Source organism: Homo sapiens, chromosome 1 (assembly GCF_000001405.40).
Source record: "Homo sapiens chromosome 1, GRCh38.p14 Primary Assembly".
NCBI lineage: Eukaryota > Metazoa > Chordata > Mammalia > Primates > Hominidae > Homo > Homo sapiens.
The window spans coordinates 170,114,007-170,132,110 of NC_000001.11; the positions used below are offsets into that span (position 1 = coordinate 170,114,007).

General features: G+C 36.8%; 1 pseudogene, besides 1 other annotated feature; it reads left to right on the top strand.

The window, feature by feature from the left end:
- Positions 1,576 to 2,387, top strand: SIGLEC30P (sialic acid binding Ig like lectin 30, pseudogene; annotated as a pseudogene).
- Positions 13,021 to 13,090: a silencer, noted in NCBI's record as "silent region_1549". NCBI's record gives its function as "represses an Ori minimal core promoter by ATAC-STARR-seq in GM12878 lymphoblastoid cells {active_cell/tissue: GM12878}" and the evidence as "EXISTENCE:reporter gene assay evidence [ECO:0000049][PMID:35858748]".

Here is an 18,104-nt window from a genome sequence, read left to right on the forward strand (position 1 = left end):
TATATTTAGGGTTTGCAACTAGGCAGAAATATGAAGTGTGTCTCTTGTACTCTTTTGCAGCAATCTCCTTTCCTAACTTGCAGTACCTATTCCATGATTCTCATGCTTTTATAGCAGTCTTCTCTCATGGTTAAGAATATGTCTGGTTCAGTCATTAACACTAAGATGTTATTAGGGCTATATTAAAGGAATGAATTTGTAATTTTAGACACAAAAACACCTGAGTAGAAAAGATATATTTTGAAGGGCATAGGACTTTCCAGTTCTTGTTAAATCACTTTAAGTATGCCACTACCTTCTATTAATTTTTGCTGCTACTACTAAGCATCTTGGGAACTCCACAGATGTATTCACTGTGAGTTCTTTGACAATCCCATATGACAAAATTCAAAACACTATGTATTTTCGCTATTCTGTGACTTGGTCCATATAGTTTACTCTCTCTGGTTTTCTTCTGTTGCTCATCTCCCTTCAAAATGTTGACTTATTTTTCAGTGTCACCTCTCCCAGTAATTGCCACTCAAAAGATAATTAATTGCTTCTTCTGTGCTGTCCCAGCACATTTGTCTAGATTGTAGACTTTATTGTGATATTATAAGTTGTCATATTCTTGTCTCTATCTCCTACTTAAGTATGAATTCTTTGAGATAAAGGATTTTGTCTTCCTTATGTTTGATTCTCACCTCATTTCAGTTCCTAGAAAAAGTTTGCGTTACACTCAATGAAGGGTTGTTGTAGTAAATAAAGTCAGTAAACCAAATGAACATATACTGGATGCTAAAATAAAGTTCTATATCTGGAATAAACATTTTATCTGGAATAAACAATTTATTTATAATAAACATTTCTTTCTGAGCTATAGGGCTGCTTTAGCCTCAGTGTTTCATTCATGTAAATGGCATTAATCAAATGAACTATACATGTTACTGTAACCATAAGATGATGCTGACCACCGAAGGCAGAGTCTGGATGGCAGTAGAGAAAAATGCAGGAATTCAATGGGTGGTGGATTGGTTGACTTAAAGGCTCCTTAATCTCCAAAATCCAGTGAAACATGATATTCATGACTGGCCTGTTCTGAAACTTAGGGACAAAGTAGATGCTGACCATGGTGCTGAAGGTTTGAATTGCATGTAATGAGCTCTTAGACACATGGTCTTTCACATCACAAAAATCAATCAGTGCCAGACTAGCACAAGTATAATTTACTTGATAGGTTATATTTTGATGTGCGCTTCTACATACTGCTATCAAAGCCCACAACTTTTATGATCAGTTCTAACTGGTGTATCTCAATGTAGAGTACATTGAAATACAAGATACAAGTACCCATAAACATTCATGAGAGCCAGGTCCATTCATTGAGAAAAATCAGATTTACTGCATAGACATTTATCCTCAAGTTTTCTTATTGGATACATTTTTGCTTCCAGTGCCAGAGGGGGCTCTGGAAGGACGAGCTCAACAAGCCCAAGATCAGGCTGGGTCCCAGGAGAGCCGAGAGGACAAATGGGCAAGGCCCCAGGGCTCAGCTCCTGCCTTCAGCTTCCACTTCTGCCTCCAGATTCCTGAGTCACTCACAGCACAGCCAGGGAATAGGCCTGTCTCAGGCATGTCGCTGTGCCTCCTATGCTGTTGCTGCTGTCTTTGCTGCTGGGCAGGTCTCAGGCTCTGGATGGGAGATTCTGGCTGCAAGTGCAAGAGTCAGTGATAACACAGGAGGGACTGTGTGTCTCTGTGATGTGCTCCTTCTCCTACCTACTGAGGAGCTGGACGAGTCTACCTCAGCCTGTGGCTACTGGTTCAAAGAAGGGACCAACATAAACATGAGTGCTCTAGTGGCAACAAACAGCTCAAAACAAGTAGTGCAGATAAGCACCTAGGGCCGATTCCAGCTCATTGGGGATCCCCACTACCAGAACTGCTCCTTGGTGATCAGAGATGTGCAGATGGAGGATACGGCAGTGTACTTCTTTCGGGTGAAGAGAGGAAGCTTTGTGAGATACAATTTCATGAATACATTCTTTCTGGAACTGACAGCCCTGACTCAGAAGCCTGATGTCTACATCCCCAAGGCCCTAGAGCATGGGAAGCCAGTGACAGTCATCTATGTGTTTAACTGGGCTTTTGAGGAATGTCCACCCCCATCTTTCTCCTGAATGGGGGAGGCCTTCTCCTCCCAAGGAACTGGAACAACAACCTCCCATTTCTCAGTGCTCAACCTCATACTTAGACCCCAGGACCATGACACCTACCACACTTGCTGCATAGACTTCTCCAGAACGGGTGTGAGTGCATGGTGGACCATCCAACTCTTCGTGGCTTATACCTCTAGGTACCTTGTTATCAGCATTTCCTATGACAATGCACCAACTGAATTGGCCTCATCCCATATTTCCTCCAAGAAATCAGGGCCCATGGAGGCGGTGGTTCTGGTGGCCGTCAGGGAGGGGGCTGTGAAGATCCTGCTTCTCTGCATCTGCTTCACCTTCCTCAGTGTCAGTTTTTACAGGAGGAAGGTGATGAGGGCAGCAGTGGGTGTGGAGGCTGCAAACACTGTCACAGGCTAATCCCTCAGGCCTCCAGACTGTGTTTCCAGATGCCTACTTGTCCAGTTCCTCCACAATCTGAATGGCCATGTTTCCTCTCCATTACTGGAGGATGAGGGGCAAATGCCACAGACTGGACTGAAGGCCTTGCAGGGTCGGTCCCCTGCTAGACTCTGCTCCTGATCCCTCTTCTCCCTGCATCATCCAATGTCTTCCCACATCCACTGGACCAAGCCTCTGTGACTCTGAGACTTTGCATGTGTAGTTCCTTCTCCTGAAATGCCCTTCTCTCCCCATCCCTGCCTATCCAGGTCTTGAAAATTATTCAGGCTCAGTCTTACATGTCACCCTGGGCTGTGTGTATTCATTGTATGGTCTTGATGGAAGAAGGATATTGAATTATGTATTATGTATTCATAGACTCACTCAGCAAGTATTAATGAACATCTGCTATGTGCCAGGATTATCATAAACACCAGAGCAGCATCCATGGAAACAACCTCAAAAGTCTCTGTCATCCAAAGGTCTTGAGTAGATATTTCCTACAATATCTAAAAGTGCATTTAGGTTGATATACTGGGTAAAGAAAATGTGGTACATATACACCATGGAATACTATGCAGCCATAAAAAAAGGACGAGATCATGTCCTTTGCAGGAACATGGATGGAGATGGAGGCCATTATTCTCAGCAAACTAATGCAGAAACAGAAAACCAAATACTGCACATTCTCACTCGTAAGTGGGAGCTAAATTATGAGAACACATGGACACATAGAGGGGAACAACCCACACTAGGGCATTTCAGAGGGTGGGAAGAGGGAGAGGATCAGGAAAAATAACTAATGGGTACTAGGCTTAATACATGTGTGAGGAAATAGTCTGTACAACAAAACCCCATGACACAAGTTTACCTATGTAGCAAACTTGCATATCCTGCACATGTACCCCTGAACCTAAAATAAATGTTAAAATTTTTTTTTTGCTTCCAGACATAGTTGTAATACTTATAGTAAGAGGTGAAGAAAGATGTTTGGAACAGGGAAGTTCTAAATTAGGCAGACATGATGACACTAATCTGGAGATAGATTAAGCATTTGCCTTTAAATTTCATTTAAAATTAATGCTAACATAATGGGGGCAAAAATATTTATGGCTTCAAACAAAGGGATAATTTTAAATATTAATGTGATATTCAGGAAAGGATTGCTTTTGGATAATAAATGCACTTGCAAATTAAATTTCACTTCTTTGTTTTCAACAAAATTGAGGGAAACAATCAAGTTGTTAGCTCATATAGCATTACAAATAATTTTTGATGATCAATCATATAGAACTTTGGCATGCACATTAATAAATATAAGTACATGTCTAGGTATACTGTCATAAAATTTCCATTTCCCATAGTATAAGAAATGTTTATCACTATCTACATATTAAAACAAATTATAATAGAATTTATGGTGAACCCTGTCTCATTATAGTAGTAAGTTATTTATCCACAAATACATTGCTAATCAAAAATATAAAGCCCCATCTATCTTATTAAAAATGCATTTCCAGGAACATACCCCAAAATAATAAGCGCTATCTATGAGAAACCTACAGGCAACATTATACTGAATGGGCAGAAGCTGGAAGCATTCCCCTTGAAAACTGGCACAAGACAAGGATGCCCTCTCTCACAACTATTGAGCATGGGACTGGAAGTCCTAGCCAGAGCAATCAGGCAAAAGAAACAAATAAAGCGCATCCAAATAGGAAGAAAGCGAGTCAAACTATCCCTGTTTGTAGATGACATGTTTCTATATCTAGAAAACCCTATAGTCTATGCCCAAAAGCCCCTTCAGCTGACAAACAACTCCTGCAAGATTTCAGATACAAAATCAATATACAAAAATCACTAGCATTCCTATACACCAACAACAGTCAAGTCAAAAGCCAAACCAGGAAGACAATCCCATTCACAATTGCCACAAATATAATAAAATACCAAGGAATAGAGCTAACCAAGGAGGTGAAAGATCTGTACAATGAGAACTACAAAACATTGCTCAAAGAAATCACAGATGACATAAACAAATGGAAAAACATCCTATGCTCATGAATAGGAAGAATCAATATCATCAAAATGGCCATACTGCCCAAAGCAATTTATAGATTCAATGCTATTCCTGCCAAACTACCAACAACATTCTTCACAGAACTAGAACAAATTATTTTAAAATTCATATGGAAGCAAAAAAAAAGAACCCAAATAACCAAGGCAATTCAAGCAAAAAGAACAAAGCTGGAGGCATCATGCCACTCGACTTCAAACTACACTGCAGGGCCACAGTAACCAAAACAGTATGGTACTGGTACAAAAACAGGCACATAAACCAATGGAATAGAATAAGAGCCCAAAAATGAGGACACACACCTATGTCCATCTAATCTTCAACAAAGCTGACAAAAACAAGCAATGAGGAAAAGACTCCCTACTGAGTAAATGGTGCTGGGATAACTGGCTAGCCATATGCAGAAGATTGAAACTGGACGTGTTATACCACAGACAAAAATCAACTCAAGATGGATTAAATGTAAAACCCAAAACTAAAAATCCTGGAAGACAACCTAGGCAATACCATTCTGAACATAGGAATGAGCACAGATTTCATGATGAATACACCAAAAGCAATTGCAACCAAAGCAAAAATTGACAAGTTGAATCGAATTTAAAGAGTTCCTACACAGCAAAAGAAACTCAATAGAGTGAACAAGAAACCTACAGAATGGGAGAAAATTTTTGCAAACTATGCATCCAACAGAGATCTAATATCCAGCATTTATAAAGAACTTAAACAAATAAACAAATTTACAGGAAAAAAACCCATTAAAAAAACACCCCATGGCAAAGGACACAAATAGATACTTTTCAAAAGAAGACATACATGTGGCCAACAAGGATATGAAGAAAAGCTCAACATCACTGATCATTAGATAAATCCAAATCAAACCACAATGAGATACCATCTCACATTAGTCAGAACGGCTATTAATAAACAGTCAAAAAATAACAGATACTGGTTAGTTTTCAGAGAAAAGGAAATGCTTATGCACTGCTGGTGAGAGTGTAAATTAGTTCAAACATTGTGGAAAGCAGTGTTGAGATTCCTCAAAGAGCTAAAAACAGCACTGCCATTCAACCCAGCAATCCCATTACTAGGTGTATACTCAAAGGAATATAAATCATTCTTAAAGACACATAAAGACACATGTATGTGTATGTTCATTGCAGCACTATTCACAAGAGCAAAAACATGGAATCAACCTAAATGCCCATTAATGATAGCCTGTATAAAGAAAATGTGGTACACATACACCATGGAGCCATAAAAAAGAATGAGATCCTGTTCTTTGCAAGTACATGGATGAAGCTGCTGGCCATTATTCTTAACAAACTAACTCAGGAACAGAAAACCAAATACTGCATGTTCTCATTTATAAGAGAACTAAATGATGAAAACACAAGGACACAAAAAGACATCAACAGACAGTGGGGTCTAACTCAGAATGGAGGGTGTGAGGAGGAAGAGGATCAGAAAAAATAACGAATGGGTACTAGGCTTAACGTCTGAGTGATGAAATCATCTGTGCAACAAACTCCCGTGACATGAATTTACCCATAAAACACATGCACATGTACCCCTGAACTTAAAAGAAAAAAAATGCATTTCCAATAAAAATTTAATTTTATTAAAATTATTTATCAAATCTGAAAAATATTGATATTTTGACTTCTTAATTTTGGAGTGATCAGGGTCCTTGGTTATTTGATTATTTTTCTCTATCTAAATTCAGTTCTTTAAATTTCAAACAGTCTTGGGGATTTAAATTCCATTAGTATGCTACTAACTCCTAAATTTATATCTCTAAGCTTCCTCTAAACTCCAGAATTATGAAGCCAATTGCTTCCTCAACATCTCCTCTTCTTTTTCAAAAAATTTCAAATTTTTATTTTTTGTGAGTACAAAGTAGATACACACACACACACACACACACATATGTACCATATATATGAGTTACATGAGATATTTTGATGCAGGTATGCAATGAGTAATAATCACATCAGGGTACATAGGGTATCCATCACCTTAAGCATTTATCCTTTTGGTTTACAACAATCCAATTATACTCTTTTAGTTATTTTTAATTGAACAATTAAATTAATTTTTAATATAGTCACCCTGTTATGCTAGCAAATACTCAGCCTTATTTATTCTTTCTGGCTATTTTTTGCACCCATTAACCATCGCCTCTTCCCCAGCAACCTTCCACCCCAACTCTGTCTACCCTTCCCAGCCTCTGGTAACCATCCTTCTCCTCTCTATCTCTGTGAGTTCAATTATTTTAATTCTTAGCTCCCACAGATAAGTGAGAATATGTGATATTTGTCTTTCTGTACCTGGCTTATTTCACTTAACATCTCCATTTGTATGTCTGACATCTTAAACTCCTGAGGTTTCCTCAAAACCTGCTCTACCAACAGCTTTTTATGTTAGTTGAGGGAAATTCAGCTTTCCCAGTGGTTTGGTCCCTGAGCCTTGACACTGTTCTTGATTATTTTCTTTTCTTTCTTCTTCTTTTTTTTTAATATCCCACATTCACACTGTTAAGAAATCCCACGAGTTTTACCTTCAAACTATATCTGGAATCTAATGAACTCTCACTACCCCACTGCTAAAAATGCTAAAAATGGTTCAAGCCTCCATTCTCTTTTATATGAATTAATGCAGTAGTCTCTTCTCTGGTGTCCCTGAGTCTACAATTCTCACCATATAGTCTATTTTCAATCAATAACCAGAATCATCTTGATAAAATACATTATATAATGTCACTCTTTCATAATCCTGCACAGTTAACTGTGATGCTTAATTTTATGTGTCAATTTGGCTGCGCCATGGTGCCCAGATAGATGGTCCAACATTATTCTGGAGGTTTCTGTCAGAGTGTTTTTCGATGAGATTAACATTTAAATTGGTGGACTTGAGTAAAGCAGATTATCTCTGTAATGTGAGTGAGCCTTGTCCAAACAGTGAAAGGCCTGAATAGAATGAAAGACCAACCTGACCAAGAGGGAGTTCTGCCGACAGCCTTCAGAACTGAACTGTAGCACTGGCTCTTCGTTGGGTCTCCAGCCTGCTGGCCTGCCTTCCAGATTTTGGACTTGCCAGTCTCCATAATCATGTGAGTCAATTCATTAAAATCACCTCTTTTTACTTACACACACACACAAACACACACACACACACACACACATCTATTCATTCTGTTTTTCTGGAGAATCCCAACAGCACCACTTAAAAAGCTTTCCCTTTTAAAATACCAGGATATCTCTTATCAAAACATCTGTTCATTTATCCGGTAAGACAAGAAAAAAGATCAGTTAAAATGAATATTTAGGTTTTCTGTTTTTTCTTTATTTTTTGTGTTTATTTTTCTAATATGTCCCTTTGTCTAAGTTTTCAAAATTATTGACACAAAATATAAATTTTAGATTCTCTATTGCCTCTGTGGTCTTGCCCCATTTTTTATTCTTGATATACTATTTGCAACTTCTGTTTTTTCTTTATCAGTATTTCCAGAAATTTGACAGTTTTATTAATCTTTTAAAAGTATCAGTTGTTAATTTTTAGGTTCTTTCTATTGTTTCTTTGTTTTTTATTATATTAATTTCTGTTTTTATCTTTATATTTTCCGCTGTTATATGTAGAATGTTTAGTTCATTATTTTTCAACCATTTTTAGCAACGTATTTAATTAAGATTATTCATTACATGGATCACAATCCATCATCCAAAACCCTTGGTGTCAAATGTGTTTCAGAATTCACTGATTTTAGATTTTAGAGTGGCAATATGGTTTATAAACTCTATATTATAAAAATCTCCCATGGTATCTGTGCCAATACTCTGGTCATATCTTGGGTTGGTGCAAAAGTTATTGCGGTTTTTGCCATTACAAAGTAATTACAAAGTAACGGCAAAAACGCAATAACTTTTGCACCAATCCGTACATTAAGCTAATAAAGACTATAGTTTGTCTCATATCAGATTGAGTCAGGGTTTCATGTCAAATTTTCTAAAAATTGTTTTTCAGAGCTTTCGGTAATTCAGAATTACAAATGAGGGATTGCACGCTGTATTGCTTTAGGTTTGTCTCAAAAGTGACTCTGTTGTTGCTTAATCCTAAAATGTTCTAATTTTCAAAATGACTTACTGGTGAACCCATAATGTGGTTAGAAATAAGCTATTTAGTTTCCAATGTATGGAGATTTGGGGGTGATCTTTTAATTTTTTGAGGTATAATACAGATATATGCTCCAATCTTAAGTGTACCATTCAACCAGTTTTGATTAATTGTTTCAGTTGTATAAGTCACACCTGCATCAAGACAGAACAGTTTCATCATCACCTCAGAAAGTTCCTTTGTGCACCTTCCCAATCAGTTTCCTCCCTATAATCTGATCTGATTTCTACCACCATAAATTCATTTTGTCTATCCTAGACTTTCTTATAAGTAGGATCAAACAGTATGTAGTTTTTGTATGAGGGATTCTTTCACACAGAAAAATGTGAGAATTATCCATGTTGTTGCATGTATCATTACTTTGTCCCTTTTTATTGCTGAATAATATTCCTTTCAATATACCATATTCATTTTGTGCCTATTAGAAACTGAATTTCTATAAACAAGGGTTTTTTGGACATATGCTTTCATTTTTCTTAGTTAAGTACCCATGAATTGAATTGATGTGTTACATGGTAGATACATATTTAACCTTTTAAGAAACACCAGTTTTCTGAAGAAATTGTATCATTTTGCATTCTCAACAATAATGTATTAGATTCTAGTTGCTACTAATCTTCTCTAATATTTGATGTAAATTGTTTTTATTTTTGCCATTCTTGTATAAGAACCACAATCTTATTGTTGTTGTAATTTGCATTTCTCTAATCACTAATGATGTTGAAGACTTTCTTATGTGCTATATACCACTTGTATATCTTCAGTTAAGCGTTTGCTCAAGTCTTTTAATCATTTTTTTTGTTGTTTTTGTTTTGTTATAGAGTTGTGTTTTCATATATTTTATATGTAATTCTCTTGCAGATATATATGAATATTTTCTTCAGTCTATGGCTTGCCTTTTCATTTACTTACTGGAATTTTTCAATGAGCAGAAGGTTTTAAAAATTTGATGAATCCCAATTTATTATTTCTTCTCTTTGTAATTCATGCTTTCTTTGTCCACTCTAAGCAATCTTTGCCTACAAAAGTCATAAAGATACTTTCTTCTGCTGTTTTTTCTAGAAACTTCATGGTTTTAGCTTTTCTATTTAGTTCTATGATGAATCTCATTAATTTTTGTGCATTGAGGGAACGGGGGAGTCCAGGTTTTTTGCTCATATGATTATCCAGTTATTCTAGCTCCATTTGTTGAAGACATTTTTCACTCCCAGTTGAATTATTTCAGTGCGTTTGTAAAAATAACTTGACCGTACATGTGTGGATCCATTTCAGGACTCTCTCTTCTGTTCTATTTTCTATCTATCCTTTCACCAGTGGCACACTCTTTTGATTACTGTAGCTTTAAAAAAGTTTTCAAATAAGGTAGTATGAGTTCTCCAATGTTATTCTTTGTTTTGAAGATTGTTTTGGCTATTTTAGATCCTTTGTGATTTTCATATATATGTTCTCATCACTTTGTCAATGTATATTTAAAAGCATGCTGGGAGCTGGGATTTTGATTGAGATTGTGTTGAATCTGAATCGATATGGTAGGGAGGAGGGAATTGATTGATAGCTTTGTTTTATTTAATACTGCTTCATTTATTTAAGTCTACTTTAATTTCTTTCAGCAATGTTTTATACTTTTTAGTTAAGAGGTATTACAACATCTTTTAATAAATTGTTAAATTTATCCCCAAGAATTTATGTTTCTTCATGCTATTGTAAATCGTATTTTAACTCTTTTTTTCTAATTGCTACAAACACTGGCCATCAGAGAAATGCAAATCAAAACCACAATGAGATACCATCTCACACCAGTTAGAATGGCAATCATTAAAAAGTCAGGAAACAACAGGTGCTGGAGAGGATGTGGAGAAATAGGAACACTTTTACACTGTTGGTGGGACTATAAACTAGTTCAACCATTGTGGAAGTGTGGCGATTCCTCAGGGATCTAGAACTAGAAATACCATTTGACCCAGCCATCCCATTACTGGGTATATACCCAAAGGACTATAAATCATGCTGCTATAAAGACACATGCACACGTATGTTTATTGCGGCATTATTCACAATAGCAAAGACTTGGAACCAACCCAAATGTCCAACAATGATAGACTGGATTAAGAAAATGTGGCACATATACACCATGGAATACTATGCAGCCATAAAAATGATGAGTTCATGTCCTTTGTAGGGACATGGATGAAATTGGAAATCATCATTCTCAGTAAACTATCACAAGAATAAAAAACCAAACACCGCATATTCTCACTCATAGGTGGGAATTGAACAATGAGATCACATGGACACAGGAAGGGGAATATCACACTCTGGGGACTGTTGTGGGGTGGGGGGAGGGGGGAGGGATAGCATTGGGAGGTATACCTAATGCTAGATGATGAGTTAGTGTGTGCAGCGCACCAGCATGGCACATATATACATATGTGACTAACCTGCACAATGTGCACATGTACCCTAAAACTTAAAGTATAATAAAAAAAAAAGAAATGCTATTTATTTTTGTATATTGATTTTATAGCATACATTGTTAAAATCATATATTAAGTCTAGTAGTTTTCTTATAGATACCTTAGGAGGTTTTACATAAAGAATCATGTCATTTGCAAATAAAGATGACATCACTTTTTCCCAATTTCTATGATTTTTTCTCTTTTGTACAAGCTAGGATCTCTAGTATAAATTTCAGTGAAAATGATTGGAGTGGACATTTTTGTTTTTTCTTAGAAAGCACTCACTATTAAATATACTATTAACTGTAAATATTTTGTAGATGCATTACAAATATTTTGCAGGAGTTTCCTTCTAGCATTTGTTTGCTATAAGTCTCTATCATAAATATGTGGGATATGTTTTCTATATCTATTGAAATGATTATAAGATTTTTCTTCTTTAATTATATAATGTGGTGAGTTATTTTGAGTAACTTTCAAATGTTAAGTAAACTTTGTATTTTGGTGCCAAATTCAATTAGTTACGGTTTGGTATGCTTTTTATGTATTACTGGATTTAATTTGCTAACATTTTGTTAAGGATTTTTGCATCTATATTCATAAAGTATATTCATCTGCAGTTTTCTTTTTTTTTTCTTTGTCTGGCTTTAGTATCAGGAGAATGCTAACCTCATAAAAAATAGCTGTTAAGTATTTCTTTATTACTTATTATAACGGTATTCCTCAGACCGTTAAGCATTTCCTCTATTTTTGAAATATTTATAAAATCTTAGTGTTATTTCTTCTTTAAATATTTGGTAGAATTCACCAGTACGTCCTTCTGGGTTTGTTCAATGACTCTTTCCTCTGCTGTGTCCAATTTACTGATAAACTTATTGAACACATTATCTATAATCCAATATCATGAGTTTTTTATTTTTAGATTGTTCATTTTACTTTTATACAATATTCATCTCTGTTAAAATTCCCCATCTTTTCATGTAGATTGTCCATTTTTTCATTATATTTAAAAACATTTGAAAATTATAATTACTTTAAAGTCCCTGTCTGATAATTCTAACATTTAGGCCATCTCTGAATTTATTCCATTTTCTCATTTCATGATGGGTCATATTTTCTTATTTTTTTGAATGGATCTCATAATTATTGATTGAATGCAGGATACTTTAAGTAAGTATAGTAGGTAAGGAGGTAAATAATATTTACTTTATGAAAAATATACTTCTGTGAAGTCATTAGTTACATGATTAAATTAAACTGGTTTGTGATTGAATTGGGTTGGGTTTTGTGATGGCTTAAATTATGTCCATGCCTCCACAGACTGGCTTCATGTATTTCAAGTGGTGCATTGTTGCTGTATTGTACTTCCCGTAAGGCCTGGAGTGCCAGACATATATCTCAGTTTGCTTGCTCTGGACTCATAATTAGTAAGGTATTCCTCTGTCTCTCTCTCAGTGCTCATTCACTTTCCTCTGCATCAGGCTGCTGTTACGTCGTGCTTGGTGGAATGTATGCGGGATAAAGAAGAGGGAGGGGAATTCCATTGGGTTTTCTGTCTTTGCCCTCAGACTTAAGCAACCCTTGCTTTCATAAGCCTCAGAAGGAATCGCTCTTAGCAATCCTCTTCCTCCCCCAGTGGCAGACAGCTGCTGTCTTAGTCACTGCAGGGTCTAGAGCACAGAGGAGTTCCTCTCAGTTCTCCTTGCTCTGTCCTAAGGCTTAGGCATGCCCCATATACCTGTGATTTACTAGGTGTCTCTCTCAGTGGTTTTGCCCTGCTTTCAATCTTTTTCATGAGCTCTCATTTAAGGACCATGAAAGAGCTGATGAATGCTACAGACTCTTCTGTATCCAAGTCTCTCAGGATTCTGATACTGTCATGCCATTCTACATGCAGCATTTAGAAGTTTATTAAAACTTCAGCTGTTTTTCTTCTTTCTCATGGCTGGGGTAGCTGCCTTTCTCTCTGGCTATTCTGTCAAAGATAAAACAGTCATATGTACTGTTTCTCGAGAGAAGCTTGTCACTCTTCAATATTAGTTCATTGAGTTACCTTGTGACATCAGAATTAAGCCCTTACCTTGTTAACTCATACTTACCATTTAAATTTTACCTCAAATTTTATTTCCTAGGTAAGGGCTCCCCTGAGTTTTAGATCATAAGATGCTTTTGCTTTTGCCTTCCACAGCATTTTGCTTCCATTTCCTGTGTATAAGTTATCATACTTTTACTTTTAAAATGTCTGCAGCTTTCTTGAAGCCAAGCATTATGCCTGTCTCCACTCACTGTTATATATCCCAAATCCTAGTGCAGAGCCTGGTATTAATAGGCACTCAAGAAAATATTTGTTGAATTGAATTGAAATTCTCACTTTATTTCCTGGGAGGCATTTTGAGGTCCCAGCTGAAGGATAAAGGGAGGAGATAATTTCTTTTTTTGATGTGAATGATACAATTTAAATCCTGTGTCCACTAGCAGTGTAAAATAATTATCATCTCCTTCCATTTCCAGTATTGCTGGGAAGGCTACATGTCTTTGAAGTTAGGACCATGTTCTCTGCCATTGCATAGGCTTTGTTTTGTGTCCCATCTTCTCAACTAGTAGCTGATGACCTTGGACAAATTGCTTAATCCCTCAGAATCTCACTTTCCTCACTCATCAAATGAGATAATACCATCCATCTCATTGGGTTGGTATAAGAATGAATTGAATTAATATGTACAAAGACCTACTGGATATTTAATAAGTACTTACTATTGTGTTTACTCCTTTTTGGTAACTTCTCTGTTTTCTCAAGAAGGAATGAGAAGGGCTGTCTAAAGAGGAACAGGCAATTATGCATGTCTCCTTCCCCTGCATCCAGTATATTATTAAATGCTTCTTTTCACACTTCTTTACTTTTCTTGATCTTTCTTAACTCATTTGCTTAAAGGTTATTGAACAAAATGGGGCAGAGACAGCCAACAAAGGATGCTTTTTTTTTTTTTTTTTTTTTTTGAGATGGAGTCTGGCTCTGTCGCCCAGGCTGGAGTGCAATGGCGCAATCTCGGCTCACTGCAAGCTCCGCCTCCTGGGTTCACGCCATTCTCCTGCTTCAGCCTCCCAAGTAGCTGGGATTACAGGCGCCCGCCACCACACCCGGCTATTTTTTTTGTATTTTTAGTAGAGACAGGGTTTCACCATGTTAGCCAGGACGGTCTCGATCTCCTGACCTCGTGATCCACCTGCCTCAGCCTCCCAAAGTGCATCACGCCCGGCCAAATGATCCTTAAAGTAAAATATGAGTATATCAATATTAATCTACTGAAATTTGATCAGACAAGAACGATTTCATCCACTTTGTGATGGTGCTGATATATAAAGAGGCTGTGAAACTACCCAGAGGCCTGAATATTCTTTGTTTCTAAAATTCCAACATGAAGTTAGGTTTACAGGCACAGAGGGAGTTCTGAGGGTTATGCTTTCTAACTCTAAGGCAAACTCAGAAAACTCCTCTGCGAGCTGAAGTCTCTATATGACCTTTCCAACCCTTCCTTTGGACTCCTTTTCTTCTCTGAAAATCTTTTTATTGACTGTGGAGTAAGGGTGTCAGGAATCGAGGAGGGGCTCTGTTTGGGTCTAAGGGTATTCAACTGTGATTTTCTTATGCCAAGAGCATATGTTAATTCCTTAATCACCAATGCCTGATCTAATTGGTCCAGTCTCATAGTTTAGCTGCATAAACACAGTTTGGCTACTACCACTTTTAAGCAGTAACTCGCCAATACTGGCAAAGTGACACTACCGTCAGGAGAAAAGATTGACCATACGGCAGCATCAATCAGAAGTAGTATCATGAGCTCTAAACCAAACCCTCAATCAAACGGGGCAACCAAAGATCAAGGTTAGGTTACCAGGCTGGCCTGCGATATAGGTAGCAGATGCAGCAAACTGGAAGAAAATCAAGAATGCAGAGAATCAGATCAAATTTCCAGGACAAAGTTAGGAACATTAAAGATAAGAGTCAAGTTGCTAAGGCAAGGAGAAGACCACAGAAAATCAGAGCACCGGACAACTGAGGTGAATTATTTAGCTGAGATCAGGAACTCCATAGGTCAACATCAAGGAGAATGAAAAAGTCTGTTGATTCAGGTTTCAGCCAAGGACTGTGTAGAGTCAAAGAGGTAGGTCACCAGTAAGACTAAGAATGCCTTGGAGCCCAAAATAGTTGGCTACACCTGGAAGTAGCATTGCCTGCTCCTTACCCTGCCTTGCTTCCAACTTGCCTGTTTCCATGAAGCTTCATGGAAAAGGAATAGAAGTAAGGCCTTTAAGTACCTGCCTGTCCTACTATACTAATTTCCTTTCCAGTACTATTTTTGTTACAATGGCGAAATGTATAGTGGCCTCCGTACAGCCCTTATTTTGCTTCTACTGTCTTACACCCTGAGATCAGACAGATTCCAATGGTAGAGAAAATGGTGATGAAAAGTTCATTGGTTCTCTGCCATACCCCACCCATCCCATTTCTGATTCCTGCTCTCCCCAGGCAACTCTTTTAGCTGTTTTATTTTTCTGCATTTACCTGCTTATTTCTAAATAATAGGCTTCTATGGCTATTTCTGGATATTTTTCAGTTTTAAGTTCTATTGACATTCTTGTCAGCAGGTGTTGACAAGACATAGTTTTAGGTTCTTTTGACATCTTGGTAGGAATAATGAAGATTTAGATTTCTTACACCCCTGCCTGCTATCCCCACATCACTTCTCCCATTTTTTCAAGATGTTATATCACAATTTTTGTTAAATTCATATTATTTGTAATATTATGATTATATGAACAGTATTTATAGCTGTGCCATGTAGTTATAAAAATTACATTTTTTATTCTTTATAGCTTTTGGTTTTTCCAGGAATCAATGAATACCTCCTTTTTGGTTCCTTAATTTTCTACTTATCTATCATAAATACATTCCTCCACTCTGCTAATCTCTACCTGCTATATTCAAAATATCAGGTTATCTATATGGCCCTTCTTAGAGACCACCATCCTTTTGCTGGATTGGTGATTTTCTAGAAATGCTGCATGCTGCCATTATGGAGATTTCTTTTCACTAACATCCTGGGGATTTTAAATATTTTTAAGATGCATTCCCTATTTTCCTGGATCCTGTAGATTCAAAATACTACATGTGCCATAGTCCATTTTTAATCGCATTCCACCCTTTAATTTTCATAGTATAAGCTTTGGGCTTCAGGGGTCTGCTATTTTTTTTCTCGGTGCTAATGGAATTCCAATTCTCAGCCTTAAACATTTCAGGCCTTCCTAAGAGCTGGAGAAAGAAATCTGAGAAAAATCAAGAGGGAAAATATTTTGTCATTTCTTGCATAAAGCAGATAGTCTTCTGCATCATAAAACTTTCTGAAAAGTGATTTGAAAATATTTAGAAAAGTATCAATTTTATTCTCCTGTCCAGGCTTAAGATTTGTTTAAAGATATATTTACCTAATATGTTCTTTGTTTAAAAGTGTTCTTAGAAGTATTATCTGTGCAAAGAAATATTTTGGACACCTAAACATTAGAATTTGTTGCTATGACCTATGAAATATAATAGGTTACTTCATAAAATTTGCAAATCAGACTGGTTGTCATAATAATTTGTTGCACTGACAATCAAATTCAAATGGACGTATTTTTCTGAGGTTGGTTTGTAGAGCTAGAAAAGTATTATGAATGAAAAACAATCCATGACCCTGTTGTGTACTTTACTCAAACAAAATTATAGGTATTTTGTCTTATTTGGAATTTATACTGTCATTAATCTTCCTCTTGTTTTACACCCTCTTTCCCGTGTAGCACATTCTTCAGAATTTTCCTCTGAAATGGTGCACAGGAGGTAATTTTTCGGGCCTTCCTCATGTTGAAAAATGCCATTATTCTCATACTCTACAATCGATCGTTTGGCTGAGTGTTAGCATTTTAGTATTGAAATCATTTTTTTCTCAGAATTTTGAAAATTTTTCTCTATTGTCTTCTAGCTGCCACTGCTGTCATTTAAGTGCTGATGATCTGAATTGTCATTCTCACATGCATTACTGCAGAAACCTCCTAATTCCCTGCTGCCACTCTTGCCTTACTATTGGCCATTCTTAACACAGCAGCAGGGTGAGCTTTTTGAAAAAGAAATCAGATCATGCCACTTCTCCACTCCCAACTTCGCAATGACTCCCCACCTTGATTATGGTACCTCTCATGCCCTTATAATGGCCTTAAAGACCTCACATGCTGTGAGCCCTGTTACTTCTGTGGTCTCATCTCTAGTTTCCTCCCCCATGTTTACTGTGCTCTAGGCACACTGGCTTCCCAGCTGTTCCGTGAACATGTGCGATATGTTACCACCTTTGACACTTGGCACTGGCTGCTCCTCGGTCAGAAGGCTCCTCACCCAGACATCTGGAAGACGAACACCTTCACTTCTTTTAAGTCTTTGCTTAAAACATACTTTCTCAAGAGGACTATTTTGATTATCCTGTTTAAAATGACATGCCATCTTCTCTTCTCGCTTCAATTTCCCCTTATCCTGATTTGTTTTTTCTTTTTATGTAGCACTTAGCTTTTAACTAACTGTATTGTTTATGTTTATACCTTGTCTATTATGTAAACTCTAGAAGGGCAGAGATCTTTGTCTATTTTTGTCATGAATATTGTCCCAGTGCCCAAAGCAGAACACAGTGCACAATAAATGTTTGAATGAATAAACTGAAAAGTGATTATTATATTATTCTTCCATGTAATATGACAGAGAAACTTTATTTTAGTAATATTTCTGGG